The sequence below is a fragment of the Homo sapiens genome, chromosome 19 (assembly GCF_000001405.40).
Source record: "Homo sapiens chromosome 19, GRCh38.p14 Primary Assembly".
Lineage (NCBI taxonomy): Eukaryota > Metazoa > Chordata > Mammalia > Primates > Hominidae > Homo > Homo sapiens.
Window position 1 is genome coordinate 21744777 of NC_000019.10, and position 24516 is coordinate 21769292.

At 41.2% G+C, this 24516-nt stretch overlaps 1 protein-coding gene and 1 pseudogene across 8 annotated transcripts in view, besides 3 other annotated features; one reads left to right on the forward strand and one right to left on the reverse strand.

The window, feature by feature from the left end:
- Positions 1–22803, reverse strand: part of ZNF100 (zinc finger protein 100) — a 44809-nt gene extending 22006 nt beyond the window's left edge. For 3 of the 7 annotated variants that reach the window (NM_001351670.2, NM_001351669.2, NM_173531.4), the window contains exons 1-3: positions 22651–22803; positions 20918–21010; positions 165–291 (exon numbers count right to left, since the gene is read on the reverse strand). In NM_001351670.2, the coding sequence (NP_001338599.1) occupies positions 165–291; positions 20918–21010; positions 22651–22653 (223 nt within the window). In that variant the 5' untranslated portion in view covers positions 22654–22803. Of the gene's footprint in view, positions 1–164; positions 292–2039; positions 2114–5744; positions 5900–20917; positions 21011–22650 lie in introns of those variants that run through there. The other 4 variants (NM_001351672.2, NM_001351671.2, XM_047438363.1 and 1 more) reach the window with 3 other exon arrangements.
- Positions 5651–6152: an enhancer, noted in NCBI's record as "H3K4me1 hESC enhancer chr19:21933229-21933730 (GRCh37/hg19 assembly coordinates)". NCBI's record gives its function as "activates a minimal SCP1, AML or CMV promoter by ChIP-STARR-seq in primed H9 embryonic stem cells {active_cell/tissue: H9 hESC(primed)}" and the evidence as "EXISTENCE:reporter gene assay evidence [ECO:0000049][PMID:30033119]".
- On the forward strand, positions 5969–8662 carry CCNYL6 (cyclin Y like 6 (pseudogene); annotated as a pseudogene). Its single transcript, NR_024523.1, has one exon. The product of NR_024523.1 is annotated as a cyclin Y like 6 (pseudogene) (transcript).
- Positions 6153–6652: an enhancer, noted in NCBI's record as "H3K4me1 hESC enhancer chr19:21933731-21934230 (GRCh37/hg19 assembly coordinates)". NCBI's record gives its function as "activates a minimal SCP1, AML or CMV promoter by ChIP-STARR-seq in primed H9 embryonic stem cells {active_cell/tissue: H9 hESC(primed)}" and the evidence as "EXISTENCE:reporter gene assay evidence [ECO:0000049][PMID:30033119]".
- Positions 22790–22967: a silencer, noted in NCBI's record as "fragment chr19:21950368-21950545 (GRCh37/hg19 assembly coordinates)". NCBI's record gives its function as "represses an EF-1alpha promoter that drives an FKBP-Casp9 reporter gene in an ReSE screen in K562 erythroleukemia cells {active_cell/tissue: K562}" and the evidence as "EXISTENCE:reporter gene assay evidence [ECO:0000049][PMID:32094911]".

Consider the following 24516-nt stretch of genomic DNA (forward strand, 5'->3'; position numbering starts at 1 on the left):
TGAAACATCTTGAATACATTCTTTTCCACACACAGCCTCAAGATTTTCTTGAAAAAACGGATCAGAAACTCATTTATGCAAAGCATGAATTACCAAAAATCATTCCACAAAAAAAGAGAAACCTTTACGGTATATTAGAAATTGTGTATTAAAGTTATTCTCACCCAAGAAGACCAGGTTTCTGTAGTTCTCTAACATCACTTTCCTATACAAACCCTGCTGAGCACTGTCCAGGCATTGCCACTCCTCCAGAGAGAATTCTATGGCCACATCCCTAAACGTCAATGGCCCCTGAAAAGCACAAGCACAGAGACACACATATATTTACCAAGTGGCCATGGGCAGAATTTATTATTTGAATTAAAATGAAATGACAGAGCAAAGAGAATTGGTTCTGATTAATAGAAATGACAAATTTTCCAATAATTTTTAACACAGAAATATTCTCTAAAATATTCTCTAATTCTGAGAGAAGAGAATGGCATAAGATCCACAACACCAGTGTATATATGACACTTTTCTAGATAAAGTATAAAATTAAGAGCATAAACACAAACATATACATTTTTGAGTGTTATTATTTATATCATAAAGAATGAGTTGTGTATATTTTTCAGACAAAAAAGAGATGTTGAGTTAGAAGGCACCTCCTGAATTTTAATGTTTACAATAAACTGGAAATCTTGTGCAGATTTTTTTTCAGAAGATCTGGAATGAAGTCTGAGTTTCTGAATTTCTTTCTTTTTTTTTTTTTTCTGAGACGGAGTCTCGCTCTGTCGCCCAGGCCGGACTGCGGACTGCAGTGGCGCAATCTCGGCTCACTGCAAGCTCCGCTTCCTGGGTTCACGCCATTCTCCTGCCTCAGCCTCCCGAGTAGCTGGGACTACAGGCGCCCGCCACCGCGCCCGGCTAATTTTTTGTATTTTTAGTAGAGACGGGGTTTCACCTTGTTAGCCAGGATGGTCTCGATCTCCTGACCTCATGATCCACCCGCCTCGGCCTCCCAAAGTGCTGGGATTACAGGCGTGAGCCACCACGCCCGGCCGAGTTTCTGAATTTCTAACGAGCTCACTAGTAATGCCAAAGTTTTTGGCCCCAAAAGAAAATTCTGTGAAACATCCAGTAAGTGGAAGAGCCTGTGTTTTACCAGATTTTTCTGGCCTGTAAAACAAAGAGCCTTCATTTTCCAAAGACAGCTACATGCAAAGAAAACATAAGAAAAAAGGGCAGCTGCCAGATTAAATGTGATGGCTTATGCACATTAACTGCATAAAGATGCCTAATAATGACAAGAAAAATAGTTAACTCTGTAGTGAAAGAAATATCAGAGAGCTTTTTAACCAAGTAAATTATTAATATCAACCATAGTAGGACGAATTTTTATGTTGTGCTTATGCACATAGAAGAACATAGCATCATTGCCTAGATATTGCCCCTCCAAAAGTAAATTATATTCTGAATTCAATCATACAGAAACATCAGTTTTATGCAAAGTTCAAGATACAGGTATCTCCAATGTTCTGTAATTTTCAATAATGATTTTAAGTAGTCTTTCTTCAGCACCCTATATAGCAGGTATCTCTCAATCTTTTTTCAGAACTTTCTGGGTAATAAATGCCATCCTATTTAAGTAAGTATTTTCTTAATCCTGTTCTGCATAGAGCTAATGGAGAACACAGATGGAACCTCAACATTACATATTCTCCACGTAAACCCCAGCTTTCCCCAATAGGAATCTTGAGTATCCACATCCTTCCATGTTCAACAGCCACAATGGGAACATTTTTAATAGTGCAGATCATAAATTCATGGTAGGAATTCTGCATGGCATATAAGAAGCCATGATATTGAGAATGTAGAGAAGGCTCTAGTACATAGGAAAGAAATATTTTGCATAGACCCTTGACTATCATTAGAATTTTAAAAAGTAGTTAAACTCATTAGTAAGGAAAAACACAAGTAGAGAAGTAAAGGTTTGCAAATACTAAATGCATGAGACTCTAGAAAAGAGTGGACAAAGCTCTTGATGTGAGACTTACTTAGCTGAAGAAAAAAAAACATCATTTTTCCTCTTTCTCCTTCTTCTCTTGGAATCCTTTTCAGATGAAATTCTCTAAAGAAGTAACATCTACATCTTGAGAAAACTGCCTTAAATGTGTCAGCACCACCTTCTTACCTGCTAGCACCACGCCCACAGACAGAAGGACCAAGACCAAAAAGTCCACCCATACCTCTCCCTTATAACAGAGGAGATTCAGGAAAAATGTGCTGCTCCATGGATGTAAAAATGTAAGTTTCTCCTTTCCTGTCTCAGGTGCCCTCCCCTGCCACAAACACCAGCAATTTCTGCTACAGTAATGAACATATGGGCCACACTGCCCTGTCCCTACCAAACCCAAACAGAACAGGTATCGTAACCACCCTTTAGTGCAAAGGTGGCACTTAACTCTCATGAATGTATCTTGAAGCCCTCATACTTCATTCTGGCCTCACCTTAGAGTCACATGAGGCACTTCATTAAAATAACATGGATGCTTCCACCCACAACAATAAACAGAAGCTGTGGGGAAGGCACAAGAGATTTTTGCCAACTGGTCATGTGATCTTAATGAGAAGCCTGGGCTGATAACCACTTAGCTAAGCATTGCCTCTCAAGCTTTAATGAGCTCAAAAATCACTTGGTAATGTTGGTCCCACTTTATGTAATGTGATTCTGCATGTTTGGAAAGGGTTCATGAATGGGTGTTTCAAACAAGTCCCCTGCCAATGCTGATGTTGCTCCCCCAGGCTCATCATTAGCATTAGTGAGAGAAAGCAGGCACCGCACAGAGTCCCTGACATTCAGCACTCTTGTCACAACACAAATACTTCTGGTACAAATGAAGACAACCACACTCCATCCTGAAGTTTTATATTATTTGCTGGCTCTTTAAAGTTTACAGAGGAAACAAAAGGCAGCAATGTTGGAATAAGTCTGCATTTGGAAAACAACATGTACACATGTACTAATGCAATAATTATTAAGCAGGTACTATGTGCTCAAGAGTACAATATAGAGCACTGTGCTGGGCATAACATATTATGTGATTTAATCCCCATAACACATTGGAAGTTGATACTAAGTGTTCAGTAATTCTCAGGATTTAGATAAAGGGCCCAGCATTATTACTTCTTCCTCTGTTTCTCTGTTATTGATTTTTTAAAAAAATGTACAGAATAAGGCTAAATATAGACAGAGGAGGGGGCATAGAAAGAGTTTAAGAAATTTTTTTCTATTTATATTTACTTGTCTGTGACTTGTGGAGCAACTACTGGATCTGCAAGAATAGAAAACAAGCTGCTAAATGGAATGTTTCTGTAAGCACTGGTTTTAATACAAAATTTAAAAAAATAAGATGTTAAAATGTATAGTTTATTTTTCTTATTTATCTGCTTTTGGGTTGCAGGAAATTGTAAGCACCAGCTCTAGAAAGGCAGAAGGATTTACCGGCCAAAACTCTGACCTTTATAAATCAGTTCTGTAAGGCAAGACTCCAAAGTGGGCCAGACCTAAAGAAGGCCTTCAAAAAGGGTGAATCTGAACAGAACTGGGGCAGGGAAAGGACCCTATGGAGAATTCTGTTCTCTGCCACTGGAGTATTTCCAGTTCTGTTTTTCCTAAGCTTACCTAAGAAAAACTTAAATCCTAGAGTTTATGTAACTTTAATCTATTTTTGCCACTGCTCTGTCAATTTTATAACTATACTAACAGGCAATTTAAATGACTCTTTTAAAGTTTTCTGGAATAATTTCATTAGAAGATAAGTATGTATTCTAACAAAGTAAAAGATACACAAATAATACTAACAACTCTTCAGTCCATAAATATCCCTTCAGGTGATAACCTCAGAAGACACAACAATATAAAAAGAAGTGGGCAAAGTTTTTTTGTTTTGTTTTGTTTTTGAGATGGAGTTTCATTCTTGTCACCCAGGCTGGAGTGCAATGGCACAATCTTGGCTCAACGCAAACTCTACCTCCTGGGTTCAAGTGATTCTCCTGCCTCAGCCTCCCAAGTAGCTGGAATTACAGGCATGCACCACCTCGCCTAGTTAATTTTTTGTATTTTTAGCAGAGACAGGGTTTCTCCATGTTGTTCAGGCTGATCTCGAACTCCCAACCTCAGGTGATCCGCCTGCCTCGGCCTCCCAAAGTGCTGGGATTACAGGCGTGAGCCACTGCTCCCGACTGAAGAGGCCAAAGTTTTGTTTTGCTTTGCACACATCTATTCACCGTACCAACCATATGATGTTTAATTCAACCGTGTATCCAGTTGCTAGTCTAGAGCAAAAGTTTCTGGATGGTAGGGACCGTGACTGCTTCATCTATTTTTTGAATGACCTTATGAAATGGAAGCAATTAGTTTATCTTTTGAGTCACCGGACCTCCTCTTTGTGTTTCACCAAAGTAACAGCAAACTAGAGAAACTCTCATCTGGGTACCAACCAAAGTTATCTCTTGTATGAGTATGAAGGGAGAAAAAAAAAAAACAGAATGACTCATTTCTCTTACACCGAGACAGAAGCAGAATTAACCACTCGTCAGCCTGAAACAATTCTGCACTGGACATCCTCAAATGTCTCAAAGACATCTAGGTGATTGTGAGAAGGTTCTTACTGACCCTGGGCTGATGGCCCAGTGATAAGCCAGGCTGAGAGAGATTCATGCTGATTCTAAATAGAAAATGGAACTGCCTTGGTGGAGCTCCAGAACCTGCATCACCTATCCTGACTTGCTAGCTTTTGGGTAAGAAGAAGGACAAGAATACTCTACTCCAGTATCATATTTTACAGGTAGGTATAGTTGTGGTCATGGCTCTGGATACTTTGTGGCCTTGATCTCTCACTCTTAAGATGCTCGTTTACACTTACAGATTCTGTCATCAAATTCTATTTATACCTGGAGTCTCTCACATAACTGTAGCAGGTCACTCACTAAACAAGATCTGAAAAGCTTGAAGAGCCACACTCTCAAATGGGGGCTTCAAGATTTCTACACTGACATCTCACAATACAGAAAATGCCTTCTGTTGGTTTTCAGTACATTCTCAATCCAAAGTCTTCTGGCCCTGTCTTGTAAATCCTAGGCAGAGGCCAGACCTTATGTGCAGATTCTAGGTGGGATCAATCTGACTCTGCATCCTTGGGTGTTACAGCAAACAGACTACAATCAAAGGAGAGCTCCCCTCATAGAGGCTGCTCTGGCACATTCTAAATAATATGTCTAACTAAAAGAAAAAACTGAGGCAACATGAATATAAGTAGAGAGTTCATCTGGGCCAAGCTTGAGGACTGTAACCTTGGAGCAAAAATACATCTTCCAAAGACTGAACAAATAAGAAATTGAATCCCTGAATAGACCAATAACAAGTGCCAAAACTGAATTGGTCTTAAATGGCCACCAATCACAAATAGCAAAGAACCAGACAAATTTACAGATTAATTCTACCAGATGTACAAAGAAGAGCTGGTACCACTTCTAATATTATTTCAAAATATTGAGAAAAAGGGACTTCTTTTTCAGCTCATTATATAAAAACAGCATCATTCTGATACCAAAACTGGGAAGAGACACAATAAAAAAAGAAAACTTCAGACCAATATCCCTGAGGAGCACTGATGTGAAAAACCTCAATAAAACACTGGAGAACCGAATCCAGGAGCACATCAAAAAACTTATCCACCTCTATCAAGTCGGCTTCATACCTGGGATGCAAGGCTGGTTCAACATATGTAAATCAATAAATGTAATCCATCACATAAAGAGAACGAAAGAGAAAAACACATAATTATCTCCAGATGAGTCAGCTTGGGGAGGCGGAGGCAGCGGCAGCGCGGCGAGCGTGCAGGGAGGCCGGAGCCCTGCCCGGGGCGGGTCGCGGGGTGGGCGGGTGAACTGCCAGCGAGGAGGCACCTGCTTGCGCGGGTGCAGCCTGGGCTGCGCCATTGTTGGGGGAGGGGCGGCTGCTGAGGGCGGCGAGTAGGGGGCTAGAGAAGGCGCCAGCCCCGGCCCAGAGGAGCAGAGACGCCCCATGGGGAACACGCTGACCTATTGCGTGTCCCCCCAGTACCAGCCTCAAGCTGGGCCGGTGCGTGGTGCCAGAGCTGTACTGCGCAACCGACATCTACGAGGCGGCACCCGGGGATGCGGTGGCGGTAGCGCCCGCTTCTGTGGAGCCTACCAGTTGGATTTCGCAGCGGGCGAGGGCCACCACCTGCAGCACATCAGCGACCACGAGATGCCCTAAGATTTAGCTTTGGAGTCAAACCCTTCTGACCATCCAAGGGCAAGCACAAGTTTCCTGAGCAAATCTCAAACCGATGTGCGAGACAAGAGGAAGAGCAACCACTTAAATCATCTATCTCCAGGGCAGCTTACTAAAAAGTATAGCTCATGCTCAACAATATTTCTAGGTGACAGAACAGTCAGCCAGCCTAACCTTAGAACCACAGTAAAATGTGACCTTAGAAATATATTACCACATAAAGAACAGAGATGCAAACAGATCCCTGGATATTTTTGATGAGAGATCACATCCCCTCACACGAGAAAAAGTTCCACAGGAATAGTTTAAGCATGATCCTGAGCACAAATTTATTTACAGATTTGTTCATACTCTTTTTAGTGCTGCACAGCTAACAGCTGAATGTGCAACAGTAACTCTGGTTTACTTAGAAAGGCTTTTAACTTATGCTGAAATCGACATTTGCCCCACTAACTAGAAAAGGATTGTTCTGGGAGCCACTCTTCTTGCCTCCAAGGTTTGGGATGATCAGGCTGTATGGAATGTGGACTACTGCCAGATCCTCAAGGACATTACAGTTGAGGACATGAATGAAATGGAAAGGCATTTTTCGGAGCTTCTTCAGTTTAATATTAATGTTCCTGCTAGTGTTTATGCCAAACACTACCTTGACCATCGCTCCTTAGCAGATGACCACCTGAATTTTCTATTTGCTCCTCTTAGCAAAGAAAGAGCACAGAACCTAGAGGCTATTTCTAGATTATGTGAAGACAAAGACTTGTGTGGAGCAGCTGTAAGAAGGTCTTTCAGCGCTGATCAACTTCATTGGTATTCAGCACTCTAAAGCCATCCTCTCTTAAAGGGAGAAATGAGGGGTTATAATGTCACGGGACCTTCATCTACAAAGACTGGAGAAATACCACCTTTCCTGCTCAAAAACCAGCAAAATTAGTGTTTTCATCAAAAGGAAAGATCTCAAATTCAAGAGACGCACGGACAACAAGGATCATACTCCATAGAAAAGAATGGGACCTTGTCAATGCAACAAAACACTCTTCTGTCCTTTTTAATGTAAACAGAGTCACCAAAACCACTCCAAAGTGAAGGCTCCCATCCCACACACAGATATTTGCTTACAATGTGGGCCAGTAACTGAACTATGTTAGGTTTTTTAAACAATAGTTTAAATTTTTAGACTTTAAAGACATTAACCATATAACTTTTATGTTTCTTCCAGTTTTTCTCCCCCTGCTCATTTTGCTGCATATGCCTTTAGAATCAATGCAGTATTGCCCTTAAAACAAGGGACTCTAACTAAAGCCACTTAGGAGCAGACTGCAGCATTGTTAGGTATTGAAGGGTTCTTCCTCCCTACTGTTACCATTAAAGCTGCTAGTCATTGGCAATCATTTTAAACCAAAAAGCTGATGGATAACATTTGTCATTCATATTCTTTGCAAGCATTACTTTAGCATTTTAGCATGTCTGCGGTCATAAACAAAGGAAGTATCAGTTATGATATCTACTTCTATTGGGGTCCATGTTGCATTTCTTGTGAACTATAAATGGTACTTCTCATTTTCTGATAATTTTTATCTTATTAAATAAATGTATTAAAAGATATTTTCATAATGCCAATGAACATGGTGGTTCAGTGACAGTGAAAAAAAAGTAAAGCAGTTTTAAGCTTTAATATAGTTTGGGCCCTCCAAGGTACTGCAGCAGGAGTATAAATGCTATAAACCTTTGAAAAACATCATTTGAGAGTTTTGTTTTTTTTCTTTAAGAGATGGGGGTCTTGCTGTGTTGTCCAGGCTGGAGTATGGTGGCTGTTCACCAGTGCAGTCATGGTGCACTGCAGCCTAGAACTTCCTGGCTTCGCGCCATCCTCTAGCCTCGGCCACACGAGTGGCTGGGACTGCAGGCGCACCCTGCATTTGTCTCCTGAATGTTAGGCTTTTGATTTTTTGTTTCAGTCACTCTTGAAGTCACTCTTGACTGAAGCAAAAAATTAAAAGCTTTATATTCAAAATTCTCAAAATGAAGCTGGGTGTGGTGGTGCACACCTGAGGTTCCAGCTACTTGGGTGGCTGGAGGATTGCTTGGGGTCAGGTATTGGAGGCTGCAGTGTATCGTGATGGTGCCTATAGAAATAGCTACTGCACTTCAACCTGGACAACATATCGGGACCCCATCTCTTAGAAAAATGCAAAATTAAATGCAAAAGAAATGCACCGGGCATAGTGATTCATGCCTATAATCTCAGTACTTTGGGAGGCTGAGGTGGGAGGATTACTTGAGCGCAGCAGTTCAAGACCAGTCTAGTCAACACAGTGAGCCCCTGTCTGTAAAAAATAATAATAAATAAAAATAATTAGCTGGATATGGTGGCGTATGTCTGTAGTCCCAGCTACTCTGGAGGCTGAGGTGGGAGGATCACTTGAGCCTGCGGGGTCAAGGCTGCAGTGGGCCATGATCATGCTACTGCACTCCAGTCTGGGCGACATCCAGACCCTATCTCAAAAGAAGGAAAAGAAAAACATTCAGGCAAGGTTTTATGAAGGTTTGTAGCACTTCTACAAGTATCAAAGCTTAAAATTACATTAAACCTTTGGAATATCTTGTATCTCCATAAAATGCCCTTCTCTTTTTAAAATGAATTACTTGCAGAGCTGTGCTCTATATGCATTGATCACCGAAGTTTCTTTAATTTAAAGGAAGATTTTGAAGAGCACTGTTAATTAACATGTAATAAAAGGAACTGGGCCCTAATGATAGAAGGTGATATGAACAGCTGTTTTATCATCCTACATGCTACCAACCTGTAGGTGTCCCATTAAGTCCTGCTATTTAAGAAATAACTTACATAACCCTTAGGAACACTTACTTCAGGCTTTAAAAGGCAAGGAACAAATAATTTTAGGAGACTGATAATGCCATCTAAATTTGAAAAACTAAAAGGAGATTAGTGTTCTCAATTATGTGAAATCTATTTCTCCTACTTACTCAAATCTAATCCTAGGAATCTTGCTTATAAACAAAGCATTCCTGGGCCAGGAATACTTCCTCTACTATAGCAATATTTCACATCATATTGTGCTGCAATTTCCATCATTTTTAAAGGGCAGAGAAATAAATGATAAATAATGGTATAAAAATATTACAATCTACCACCTCAAAAAAAAAACAACAAAACATTGTTTATGGAGTTCAGAGCTTGGAGAGTCAAGTATTGATAGCTGTTTTATTTTAAAAAGAATGTTACAATTTATGTGGTTTTTATTTCTCATGTTTATATTAAAAGTTAATAAACTCTTTTAATTAAAAACATATCATTATTTCAATAGAAAAAAGCCTTTGATAAAATTCAGCATCCCTTCATGTTAAAAACCAATGGAACAGAACAGAGACCTCAGAAATACCACCACACATTTACAACCATCTGACCTTTGACAAACCTGACAAAAGCAATGGGGAAATGATCTTCTGTTAAGTAAATGGTGCTGGGGAAACTGGCTAGCCATATGCAGAAAACTGAAACTGGACCCCTTCCTTACAAAATTATACAAAAATTAACTTATACAAAAAGTAACTCAAGATGGGTTAAACACTTAAATGTTTAACCATAAAAACCCTAAATGAAAACCTAGGCAATACCATTCAGGACAAAGGCATGGGAAAGACTTCATGACAAAAACACCAAAAGGAATCGCAACAAAAGCCAAAATTTGACAAATGGGATCTAATTAAAGAGCTTCTGCACAGCAAAAGAAAACCATCATCAGAATGAACAGACAACCTACAGAACAGGAGAAAATTTTTGCAACCTACCCATCTGACAAAGGTCTAATATCCAGAATTTATAAGGAACTTATACAAATTTAAAAGAAAGACAACCCCATCAAAAAGTGGGCAAAACATGAACAGATACTTCTCAAAAGAAGACATTTATGTGGCCAACAAACATGAAAATACACTCAGCCGAGCTCACGCCTGTAATCCCAGCACTTTGGGAGGCCGAGGCGGCTGGATCACCTGAGGTCGGGAGTTCAAGACCAGCCTGGCCAACATGGAGAAACCCGTCTCTACTAAAAATACAAACTTAGCCAGGCATGGTGGGGCATGTAATCCCAGCTACTCGGGAGGCTAAGGCAGGAGATTCGCTTGAACCCAGGAGGCAGAGGTTGCAGTGAGCCAAGATCGCACCATTGCACTCCAGCCTGGCCAATGAGAGTGAAAGTCCGTCTCAAGAAAAAAGAAAAAAAGAAAAAAAAAAAAGCTCAACATCACTGATCATCAGGGAAATGCAAATCAAAACCACAGTGAGATACATCTCACACCAGTCAGAATGGTAATGATTAAAAAGTCAAGAAACAGATGCCGGTGAGGCTGTGGAGAAATAGTAACACTTTTACACTCTTGGTGGGAAGGCAAATTAGTCTAACCATTGTGGAAGACAGTATGGTCATTCCTCAAGGATCTAGACCAGAATTACCATTTGATCCAGCAATCCCATTACTGGGTATATACCCAAAGGAATATAAACCATTCTACTATAAAGACACATGCACATGTATGTTTACTGCAGCACTATTTACAATAACAAAGACATGGAGCCAACCCAAATGCCCATCAATGACAGACTGGATAAAGAAAATGTGGTACATATAAGCCATGGAATACTATGCAGCCATCAAAAGGAATGAGATCATGTCCTCTGCAGGAACATGAATGAAGCTGGAAGCCAGCATCCTCAGCAAACTAACACAGGAACAGAAAACAAAACATTGCATGTTCTCACTCATAAGTGGGAGCTGAACAATGAGAACACATGGACACAGAGAGGGAAACTACACCCACAGGGCCTGTTGAGGGGTGAATGGTGAGGAGACAGAACATAGAGGACGGGTGAATAGGCGCACCAAACCACCATGGCACACATACCTATGTAACAAACCTGCATGTTCTGCAAGTGTATCTCCCTGCTTTTTTAGAAGAAATTTTTTAAAAGAGGAAAAAAATGTTACTTATCACATAAACCAAAACTAAAGACAAAAACCACATGATTATTTCAATAGATGCTAAAAAAGCCTTCAATATAATTTACTATCCTTCATGTTTAAAACCCTCAACAAACTAGGCATTGAAGGTACATACTTCAAAATAATGAGTCATCTTTCACAAACTTACAGCCAACATACTAAATGGACACAAGTGAGAAGCATTCCTCCTTGAAAACTGGCACAAGACAAGGATGCCTTCCCTCAAAACTCCTGTTCGACATAGAATTGGTACAGTCTCAGCAGAAAAGCTCTTTAAACTGAAAAGCAAGTTCTGCAAAGTTTCAGGATACTAAATCAGTAGCATCTCTGTACATCAACAACATCCAAGCCAAAAGCCAAATCAAAAACATAATGCCATTCACAATTGCCACACACACACACACACAAATATCGAGGAATACAGCTACCCAGGAATGTGAAAGATCTCTATGACAAGATGATCAAACACTGCTTAAAGAAGTGAGAGATGACATAAACAAATGGAAAACCATTTTATGCCATGGATAGAAAAGATTAGCATCACTAAAATGTCAAAACTACCCAAAGAAATTTACTGACTTAATGCTATTCCTATCAAACTACCAAAAACATTGTTAACAGAACTAAAACTTAACTATTTTAAAATTTATATGGAACTAAAATAAGCCTGAATAGCCAAGGCAATTTTAAGCAAAAAGAACAAAGCTGGAGGTATTACATTAACCCTCTTCAAACTACACTACAGGGCTACGATAACCAAAGCAGCATAATACTGATGCAAAAAGAGATGCATAGAAAAATGCAACACAATAGAGAGGCCAGAAATAATGCCACACACCTCCAACTATCTGATCTTTGACAAAGCTGACAAGAGGAATGAGGAAATAATTCCCTATTTAATAAATGGTGCTGGAACAAGCTGGGAGAGGTGGCTCACACCTGTAATTCCAGCACTTTGGGAGGCCAAGGTGGGTGTGGATCAGTTGAGGTAAGGAGTGCGATACCAGCCTGGCCAACGTGGTGAAACCCTGTCTCCACTAAAAATACAAAAATTAGCTGGGCAAGGTGGCACATGCCTATAATTCTAGCACTTTGGGAGCCCAAGGCAGGTAGATCACTTGAGATCAGGAGTTTCAGGCCAGCCTGGCCAATACTGCAAAACTTCATCTCTACTAAAAATACAAGAATTATCAGGGCATGGTGGTGCATGTCTGTAGTTCCAGCTACTCAAGAGGCTGAGGCATGAGAAATGCTTCAACCCATGAAGCAGAGGTTGCACTGAGCCAAGATATGCCACTGAACTCCAGCCTTGGTCACAGAGTGAGACCCTGTCTCAAAGGAAAAAAATAGTCACTAACAGATACTGGCAAGGTTGCAGAGAAAAGGGAATGCTTTTATACACTGTTGGTGCGAGTGTAAATTAGTTCAACCATTGTGAAAAGCAGTGTGGCGATTCTTCACAGAACTAAAAACAGAATTACCATCGGACCCAGCAACCTCTTAACTGGGTATATATTCAAAGAAATATAAATTATTCTACCATAAAGTCACATGCACATGCATGTTCATTTCAGCACTGTTTACAATAACAAAGACATGGAATAAACCTAAATGCCTATCAGTGGTAGCCTAGATTGAAAAAAATATGGTATGGTCAGATGACAGAGCTCATTCTTGTAATCCCAGCACTTTGGGAGGCCAAGGCAGGTGGATTGCCTTAGCTCAAGAGTTCAAGACGAGTCTGGGCAGCATGGCAAAACCCCATCTCTACAAAAAATAAAAATAATTAGGCAGACATGGTAGTGTGTGCCTGTAGTCCCAGTTACTTAATGGGCTGAGGTAGGAGGACCCCTTGAGCCTTGGAGGTTGAGGCTGAAGTGAGCCACAACTGTACTGCACTTCAGCCTGTGTGACAGAGTGAGACACTGTCTTAAAAAAAAATAAAGAAAAGATTTAATAGAAACAAAATATGGTACATAAGCAACATGGAAGACTATGTGGCCATAAAACAAACACCACCAAGATAAAGATCTCTGCAGCAACACGGATGGCGCTGGAGACCATTAGCCTTAGAAAACTCATGCAGAACACAAAACCAAATGCATGTTATCATTTGTAAGAGCTAAATAATAAGAACACATGGACACGAGGAACAGTCACGGGGCCTAGCTGAGAATGGAGGATGAAAGGACAAAGAGGATCAGAAAAAAATACCTCTTTGGTGCTATGCTTAGTACCTCAGTGACAAAATAATCTACACCAAACCCCCATGACACAATTTTACCCATATAACAACCCTGCACATGTACACGTGTAGAAAAAGAAAATCCATGGGTGGGGAAGAATGCAGTGTAAGTGGATTGTTTGTTCTACAGACAGTGGCCCAGGTGGCGCTGTACTCTGATTTATTTCTGGGTCCATGCAGGCAGAGAAGATTATGAACAGGTAGTCCAGGACCCTAGGCTGGTGGAGAAAACAGGTTGCTGCTGCAGATTCATTGTCTGGGGGTTGGGATATGCCAGGAGACTTGTGGACACTTTTGTGGCTTTTTGGCAAGAAATACTAGGATCCACAACGCTGTAGTGAAATTCCCAAGTGTGGTGACTAGTCCTGGGAGGGGTGTGGACACGTCAATGTCTAGTGGGTATGTTTGTGAGTGGATCAGAATCCTGTGGTGATAGCTGTGGAACAAGGGGGTCTGTCATCAGAGTTCCTTTCCTCTAAGTTTTCATCCTCTCTTACCCTAGAAGATCTGGAATCACACGACAATGAAAGGCTTTGTTCTCCTTTAGACGAGAACAGAGCCTCCCACTCCAAGACACCAAGAGTTCCATTCCAGGCCAGGTCTCCATGATATCTTTCTTCTACCACCAAAACTGCAGAGTTTGCTGAATACCAAGCAATTCTCTAGCACCAACTCAATGTCTAACATTCGAATTCTGACACCATGCAGAGTCAGCAAAGACCCTGATTCAAGGTTTAGTCTCATAACATTGCCCTCTTTGCAGTTGCCAGTCACAAACCCCATAGGCCCATCTATGTTTCTGGGCTACTGTTTAAAAACTGAGGACTCCTGCGACCTTCCTCAAGTTCAATAATTTGATGGAGCTACTCACAGAACTCAGCAAAACACTGCAGCTATGTTTACAGATTATAAAAGATACAACCCAGGAAAAATCAAATAGAAGAAATGTATAGAACAAAAAGAAGAGGTGGGGAAAGATGAAACATATAGATAACCCTGGTAAATAGCTGTGATTAATAAAATTTTTCATCCTCTGTGTTCTCCAGGAACAGTTTATGGAAAGAAACACTCTTCCATTATGAATTACACAGTGCTCTCTTTTCTTTTTTATCACATAGCCACAGACTATTGAACTAGAGCAACTCGATTTTGAATATGGCTGAGTAAAATAAGGCTGCAACCACTGGGCTACATTCCCAGATGGTTAGGCATTCTAAGTCACAAGATGAGACTGGAGGTCAGCACAAGATACAGGTCATAAAGAGCTGGCTGATAAAACAGTTTGCAGTAAAGAAGTGGGATAAAACCCACCAAAACCAAGATGGTGATGAGAGTGTCCTGTGGTCATCCTCACTGCTACACCCCCACCGGTGCCATGACGGTTTACAAATGCCATGGAAACATCAGGAAGTTACACCATAATGGTCTAAACAGGAGAGGCATAAATATTCCACTTCTTGTTTACCATAAAATTAAGAAATAACCATAAAAATGGGCAACCAGCCTATGGAGAAAGCCATTCTCTTATATCTCCACTTTCTTAATAAATGTACAGGCCAGGTGCAGTGGCTCACGCCTGTAATCTCAGCACTTTCGGAGGCCGAGATGGGTGGATCACCTGAGGTTGGGAGTTCGAGACCAGCCTGACCAACATGGAGAAACCCCATCTCTACTAAAAATATAAAATTAGCTGGGCGTGGTGGCACATACCTGTAATCCCAGCAACTCGGGAGGCTGAGGCAGGAGAATTGCTTGAACCTGGGAGGCAGAGGTTGCACTGAGCCAAGATCGAGCCATTGTACTCTAGCCTGAGCAAAATAGTGAGACTCCGTCTCAAAAAAAAAAAAAAGGAAATTGCTATTATTCTAATATGACTAAGTGTATGTTATTAATAATTACACTTTGGGAGGCTGAGGCTAGCGAGTCACCTGAGGTCAGGAGTTCAAGACCAGCCTGTCCAACATGGTGAAACCCCGTCTCTATTAAAAATACAAAACTTAGCCCTGCATGTGATGGCAGGTGCCTGTAATCCTAGCTAGTTGGGAGGCTGAGGCGGGAGAATCGCTTGAACCTGAGAGGCGGAGGTTGCAGTGAGCCAAGATTGCACCACTACACTCCAGCCTAGGGGACAAAGCAAGACTCCATCTAAAAAAAAATAAAATAAAATAATAATAATAATTACATTGTTACCTAAAATCATTGTATGCCACAGAGCTAACCAAATTTCCTTGTCAATTTTTTTTTTACTGTAACTGCCCTAAGACTTTGCCATCCAGACAATCATCTTGTGTTGATCCTCTTCAAAAGATGATTTGTAGTCCACTATAAGACAATGATAGGTGTTCTTAAATGCAAGTTTCTGATAACATTAGAAATTGTGACATTAGAATAGAGGAAGAACTTTCTTGTTTTTTTTTTTTTTTTTTTTGAGATGGAGTCTCACTCTGTCGCCCAGGCTGGAGTGCAGTGGTGCGATCTCGGCTCACTGGAAGTTCCACTTTGCAGTTTCATGCCACTCTCCTTCCTCAGCCTCCCGAGTAGCTGGGACTACAGGTGCCCGCAACCATGTCCCACTATTTTTTTTTGTATTTTTAGTACAGACAGGGTTTCACCATGTTAGCCAGGATAGTCTTGATCTCCTGACTTCGTGATCTGCCCGCTTCAGCCTCCCAAAGTGCTGGCATTACAGGGGTGAGCAACCGTGCCCGGCCTGAGGAAGAACTTTCAATACTAATGGAGAACTAAAATGGTCATGACTATCAAACAGAACAGGAATTAACTGAGTGGACTGAACTAATAGAAGACTGAAGTAATATTTTTTGACTTCGCCTAAAACATCACTGATCCTTTGTTTTGTTTTTCAGAGTCAAAAAAACTATTCTTTTGAACTATTCACACCTTTTAACAATTGAGTAAAGTATACACCTGTGAAAAAAATTTGGAAAATATTTGTGAGTATTCTGAACTTAAAACAATTTAGTTATTTATATAAGTGCAATAAGAAACTGTTTTCTTTTACAACAGGACACAATTAGAGAAACTTGTTATTTTACCAAGGCTTCTGACTAGAATGACATACTTTGCTTTAATGAACTAAACTTGACTTGTAGAACCAATAAAGCTCCATGGGAAAACTGGTATTATACCTTGTCTACACAGCCCCTGTACAGGGTTCCTGGCTAGCGGTAAATAAAAAAATTTCTTATCTGAGATTCCTTTTATGAAACAAGGTTCCATCAAACCCAATTTAAAAGGCCTATGTGAAAAATAATTATTCTTGCTACACTTTATAGAAATAATCGGGCCAAGTATAAGACTAAAACTTTTTTTTTTTATGTTCACACTTCACATTGTCTTATGTTTATTTGCAGTTATTTTTGAACTTGAAGATGGCATATCTTCCAGCCATAGCAGTTCACTTCTTCATGTTAATTTGGTGGCTAACACAACAGGTAATATCCACCACCCACTCCCAACCTACATCCTGCTGATCTTGCTTTGCTCACATCTTGGAGACAATAGAGTTCACAGAGTTGAGTCTGTGGCTAGAGCCGGTCAGAAAGCATGAATCTGAAAGATATTTTTAAAATAGCACTAGTAGGCCAAGCACAGTGGCTCACCAGCACTTGGGAGACCAAGGCAGGCAGATCACTTGAGGTTAAGAGTTAGTGAAAATACAAAATCAGCTGGGCATGGTGGTGTGCACTTGTAATCTCAGCTACTCAGGAGGCTGAGGCAGGAGAATCACTTGAACTTGGGAGGCAGAGGTTGCAGTAAGCCAAGATCATGCCACTGCACTCCAGCCTGGGGAACAAAGCAAGACTATGCCTCAAAAAAAGAAAAAAAAATAGCACTCCTAAACAAAACAGTCACAAAGCTTAGCTTTCTCTTTCTACTACTAACAGTGTCATAAGATGGATTATGTAAAAATCTGGATTACTGTTTGAATTATGAAGACATGACAATCAGCCACGACTTCCTATCAGCTTGGTTCCAACAAATGCCCAGTTCATGAAAAGCTTTCTTAAGTTTCCTTGGAAGAATTTTGCTTATTTTGCTTTACTGTTGTAGAATATATTGCCATTCTACTCCTTGTGTAGAAATGCAGAATAAACTTACTGGGTGTTTTCTTAAAGTGAACACTTATTAATCTTCCAGATATCACCTATTGTTGGAACTGGGAGTTAGGAATGGCCGTCATCAAACTGATGCTTTCTGATTGAGCTCCTCTCTACCTCAAATACAAAAGACGCTAATAGGCAAGAATATCATCACCTCTATTCAGCATGAAGTAGTAACAGAAGATTGATCTTCGTCCCACTACAACCCTTAGGATTAAGGGTTTCCTTGTTTAAAAAAATAACAATAATAATAGAGGGGGAAAATGTCAGAGGCATATTGAACCAAAGCAAATCCATTTTGAATAGGGCCTGGGTAAAACAGGGCTGAGATCTACTGGCCTGCATTCCCAGATAGTTAACCATTCTAAGTCACAGGATGAGACAGGAGATCAGCACAAAATACAGGCCATAAAGACCTGGCTGATAAAACAACTTGCAGTAAAGAAGTGAGATAAAACCCTCCAAAACCAAGATGGTGATGAGTGTGACCTCTGGTCATCCTCACTGCTACACTCCCATCAGTGCTATGAGAGTTTACATATGCCATGGAAACATCAGGCAGTTACCCTTTAGGGTCCAAAATGGGGAGGCATAAATACTCCACCCCTTGTTTAGCAAATAATCAAAAAATAACCATAAAAATGGGCAACCAGCAGTCCTTGGGGCTGCTCTGCCTGTAGAGTAAACCATTCTTTTATTTCTTATTAATAAACTTACTTTCACTTTATGGACTCACCTTGATTCTTGAGTGAAATCCAAGGACCCTCTCTTGGGGTTTGGATTGGGACCCTTTTCGGTAAAATCTCTGCACATATTTTTTCTTTTTCTCATGAAAAAAAATTGGCTAAGGCTGGCGTGGTGGCTCATGCCTGTAATCCCAGCACTTTGGGAGACCGAGGTGGGCAGATCACAAGGAGATTGAGACCATCCTGGCTAACATGGTGAAACCCCGTCTCTACTAAAAACACAAAAATTAGCTGGGCATGGTGGCACGCACCTGTATTCCCAGCTACTTGGGAGGCTGAGGCAAAGGAATCGCTTGAACCTGGGAGGCAGAGGTTGCAGTGAGCCGAGATTGCACCACTGCACTTCAGCCTGGCGACAGAGTAAGACTCCATCCCGGGGGGAAAAAAATCAGCTAAATTTGTCTTCAGTGGTCTAAGTAAAATTTTACGTGGGCTCCTGAACTTTGAGCTACCCTCAATCTGAGCTAACTTAAAACTTCATTCTGTGCCCCTCCTAAGAACATGCTGACTTCAGGGTAAAACATTCTCTAATCTAAAATCTAACCTTTTCAATCTCCAACTGCCATTCCCTTCCCACCTTCTCTCTAATCTTTTTTGCTCCACTGTATGAAAGAAAGCCCTCGTCTGCCTAAACTTGGCAATTCTTAAAGTTTTTATAGTTGGTATTCCTCCTGTTCTAATACTTTTTTGGAATTCAAATTTTTTAAATAAATTGAACTTGGTTATACATTACAAAGTCTAGAAACTGCCTTAAAACAATAACAACTTCATCATCAGCAAGACCCTCCCAATCCCCTTTTATGTTAACCTTAACTGCATCTGCCTGTGAGCCCCCAGCTTTCCAGGACTCTGTAGCTTCTCTCAGCAGATAGGCTTCTTCCATGGCTGCAGTGAGAAGGCTGGGACATCTGCAGGAGAGACTCCCCAGAAAAAACTAACAAGGCCGTTATTAAATTTCTTCTGCAGGCTCAATATTAGCCTTAGCTCTGAGTCACTGGGACCAAGCTCTAATTTCCATGTTAAGAGTTATTCACTTGGTTGTTGAAATTAAGTGTCTGAAAAATCCAGCAAAATGCAGTGTTCATATAAGGGAAGGGAATTTTAAGGTGCTTACATTTTATACCTCAATAAGAAAAGCAAAAGTATCAGGCCGGGCATGGTGGCTCATGCTTGTAATTCCAGCACTTCGGGAGGCCAAGGCGGGCAGATCGCGAGGTTAGGAGTTTGAGACCAGCCTGACCAACATAGTGAAACCCCGCCTCTACTAAAAGTACAAAAATTAGCCGGGCATAGTGGTGCGCCTCTAATCGCAGCTACTCAGGAGGCTGAGGCAGGAGAATCACTTGAACCCGGGAGGCGGAGGTTGCAGTGAGCCAAGATGGTGCCATTGCCCTCCAGCCTGGGTGACAGAACCAGACTCCGTGTGGGGAAAAAAAAAAAAAAGCAAAAGTATCTATTTCTTTCAGACAATAAACGTATTACTTTATTAATTCCATTTAAAATTATTTTGTAAACAATGAGTCATATGGGAGCACTTCTAAACAGTACCGAGTTTCATCTCATAAAATTTAGCATAAAACTCAAAAATCAATGTAACAGGATCTGAACACAGATATTCACTGTCACAAATTTACCCTGAAAAAAAAGAAACTGATGTTTTAATGAATCTATGTAACTCACCAATTATCCACCACATTTTCTTGTGGAAATGTATTCATTTTCCAAAACTAAAATTGAGAGATTTTGCCTGGGAGCATTCTAAAAGCTAAGCCTTGAAATTCTGTTTGAAATCACTCAGCCATAAAAAAAACACACCTGAGAAAATTCCTAACTCACTCTGGGAAAAACAGTAAATGAGAATTTTTAACAAATTTTTGACAAATGAAATACATGATCAGACATTTTTTTCTGAAACCCACCTCTTTCATGACCTTTGTAAATATTTTTCTACCTTTCAAGCCCTACTAATATAATGCAATTTACAGCTAAAAAACTGAGGTCAAAATAAGTGACAAATATCTTCAAGGTGACAAACCCAGGTAGTGGCAGTGCTGATTAAATAACAGATGTGTCTGACTCATGTTTCAAGTCAGGTCATTCAATCACTGGAGAGATTCTTCCACCCACTCCTGCTCACTTATGTGCTCAAGAACCACCCACTCAGAAGACACTGCATTATGCCCCAGTGACTGCCCCAGGTGCATTTTACTTTGCAAGCTCTTACACCATCTCACTGGGGTCAGTTCTGTTGTTGTTTGTCTTTTGGAATACTTTTTGGTAACAAAATTTTCACTTTTTTTTCCAATATTTTTCTTTATATTTATTTCACTATTTTTCTGCCCCCCTTAGATGATCCAGGGAGCAGAAATTATTTTTGTGTTTCCCCTCAATACCAGCATCTGATTGGCTGACCAGCAACGTGTCTCCAAGAAATGAAAGCTGGGTTGGGTGAAGACAATTTTAATGTCTCAAGGGGTTACCTTTTCAAAATAAGACTGCACCAGAAGACTCCTCTCAGCCCCAGGGCATCCACTTGCTCCCTTGAGAGGACACATTCCATACCTCGGGTCATCCTACGGGAGAAAATAAACCAGAAGCTGACATTCACTAGGCACTTTAGCTGACAGAACCATGGCGGATATCTCGGTTTATCCACAGATAGTACTGAAACCCAGGACCAGGAAAAAACTAAAGGGTGGCTGAGGACACATCACCCCATAGATTTTTCCAAATCAAAACCTTGACCCAAAAACATTCTGATAAATCTCTGTGCCTAGAGAAGGTAAAAGGAAAAGAGACACAGAGATTTTCTACAATACAGTGTCAGAGGATTAGTCTTTGTTTCCTTTTCGTGGGAAATATTTACAAGCGGATAACACATCTTCTTAAAAGCGCCATTTAATGCTTTGTCAAAAACAATTAATTAAAATATGGTATAAACAAGTACACTAAAGGACAAATAGGTGATAATGTGAATTAGGAAGGAAAAGTTGACATTTGGGAACGCCAGAAGAAATTGGAAATTTAGTATCTTACTGCAAGCCAGAGTGAGGCTGGAGAAATGGGGGACGGGGGTTAGACTTAACAACCTGCTTGGGACACAGGTGAAAAATGCAGCAGAAAATCAGTTCCCCGTGGAGTGTGAAAATAATTAAGAGACAGGCAATTCCACTGAGGTGTCTCTAGTCCCTGGGTTCCTACTTAAAAAAAAAAAAAATCTAACTCAGGTGCATTTTTTTTTTAATTACTACATTCAGAGAAAATGTAGGCTTAAACAACTATAAACTGTTAATTAACCTCTGATTACACAACCAGGAAATCTTCACCTGTATTGTACAAATCAAGAAACTACGTTACTGTAACCAATTACTAAATTTAGTTTTCTTCATCATACATTTTATAAATGACTTTCCTTCAAGCCTCTCCCATAGACAACAAACTACAAACCATAGCTGGATACTCTATGATTCTTGAATCACTGTTTGATTAAATTCTTTAGGCCAGGCGCGGTGGCTCACGCCTGTAATCCCAGCACTTTAGGAGGCCAAGGCGGGCGGATCACGAGGTCAGGAGTTCAAGACCAGCCTGGCCAACGAGGTGAAACCCCGTCCCAACTAAAAATACAAAAAAATAAGGCCGGCCCAGTGACAGGCGCCTGTAATCCCAGTTACTCGGGAGGCTGAGCCAGGAGAATCTCCAGAACCCGGGAGGCGGAGGTTGCAGTGAGGGGAGATCGCGCCACTAAACCCTAGCCTGGGCGACAGAGCGACTCCGTCTCAAACAAACAAAAAAATCGTTAATATTTGTGCAGTGACTCCCATACATTTTTAATAGGAGAAAAGAGGAACTGGGAAAGCCACGGACCAAAGATCTTCCCATTCATGAACCCGCACCCCGAGTCAGGATTTTCCCCTGACGACCCTCCCGTGGTCCCTGCACAATCTGAGAGAGACGCGGCGCTGCGGGTGCAGAGCTGCCAAGAGAGGGCTCCAGGCCAAGGCACAGTCACTACGCAGGGAAGAGAAAGGACGCCTGGGGTCCTGGCTGTCAGCGCAGCCGCCATCTTATGGCCGAAGGGGACGGAGGCCGAGCTGGGCAAGGCGCAGATTGTGAAGCTGACTGCGGAGAGGCCTGAGTCCCGCCACAGCTACTTCCCACCAGTTCCAACCAGCCCTTTCGCCGTCTCTCGGGATGTCGGACCGGGCACTCTCACCATTTCTAGGCTTCTAGGGGGTCCTGGCGTCTTAGCTGTGGATCTCCCAATATCTGCAGGTCAGAGGGCCACACAGGCTAGGCCCCTAGGAGCAGAAGACACAGAGAAGTGAGAGCAAAACCTGGAGCTCCGGCTACAGCGAGAGACAAAGACCCCGCCAAACCCGGAAGCCGTCCAGTCCGCTCCAGCTGCATGCCTGATTGGACGGTTTCCAGCCCAGCGTCCCTGGTTGGATAATGCTTAAATCCCCGCCCTGTCAGGCTTTGAGTGACAGAAGATGTGATCAGATGCGGGTTCAATGAAGAAAGAGTGACAGCCTAGACTGCCCCCTCTTCTGACAGGGCTTCCTCCCTCAGCTGAGCTAGGCCCATCCCAGAGAGTATTTGCCTTTAAATTTGTGTATAAGGTCATATGTATAAATAAATAATACATTATATAGCTATACACAAGTGAAAAGAATATAACAATTATTTTAAAATTTCAGCTTTTATGACCTTCCTGGCTTCTGGCCCTTTGAGCAGGCAGCCTGAGATTTTAGAAAAGAGAAAATCATCTAAAATGAATGTCAGCCACATGTGGATTTGAAATTTTCTAGTAGCCAAACTTTAAAAAGAAACAAGTTGAACTGATTGTTAACAATGTAATTCACCCATTATATTCAAAATATTATCATTTTAATGTGTGAGAAATATGTAATTATTGATAAAATATATAAATATTTGGAACTAAATCTTTGAAGCTGACTTTGTATTTTACCTTTCTAGCATATCGCATTTCAGACCAGGCACATTGTGGGAACCCAGTAGCCACACATGGACAATAGCTGTCACATTGAAGTGCAGCTCTGATGTCAGCGGTGTGAAGGGCCTGAACATCTCTTTCCTGCGAGAGTGAAAGAAGAGACTCTCCCTACAAACATCTCTCTTTGGTTCCTAGGGTGGACCAGATAGTTCCCATAGAAAGAGCTGAGGGCAGTAGGAATAAAATAGCCACAGGTAATAAACAACTGCTGGCCACCTGTTGCCCACCTTTCTTTTAGAGACCAGATAGTGAACAAAGGATGATGGGGCCACAGGAGAAAAAACAACTATGTCTTCAGTTCTGTCCACACACTTGAACTCCAGTATTTAGAGATGGAGAAAATAGATTAAAAACAAACATAGTTTGCTATATGGTCTTGGCCCTAACAATCAGGCTGTGTTTATCTGTTTTCTCCTGTGGTGTGGGGGACTATGTGAGTCTAAGCACCAATCACACGCATACATGTCTACAGGTATTTCTGCATTACCCAAAATTCTCTTACAAAACATCGAACTTTAAATCAGGGGAAGAAATCAGTACCTAGAGGGTGTCCACTGTTAGAAGCCAACTCTTAGTCAACCTGTCACTGAATCCTGGCAACTTATCTGTACTGGGTGCATGTATTAGTTAGCTATTGAGGCATAACAAATCATCCAAAACTTATTAGTTTATAATTGAAATGGTTGGCCATTTAGGCCGAGCTGAGTGGGGCCATTCTTCTGGTCTCAGCTGAGCTCCTTCAGACATGTATCATCACCTGCTTTTTGACTAGACAGCTGTGCATCTGGGGGTGAGCTTCTGCTCCTGGGTCTGTCAACAGGGGCACCTTGCTTCTCCTCTTCATGGTATCTTATTTTCCAGCTGGCTAACATGGGCATTATTCATGGAGATGGCAGCATTCTAAAAGAAAAAGAGAAGCAGTCAATACCATTTGAGCCTGGGCCCCAAACTGGCCCACTGTCATGTTCACAGGTTTCTGTTGACCTGAGCAAATAAGGTCAGCCAGATATAGGGCTTTGAAAACAGATTCCAGATCTTGATGGAAACAGCTGTAAAAGCACCTGG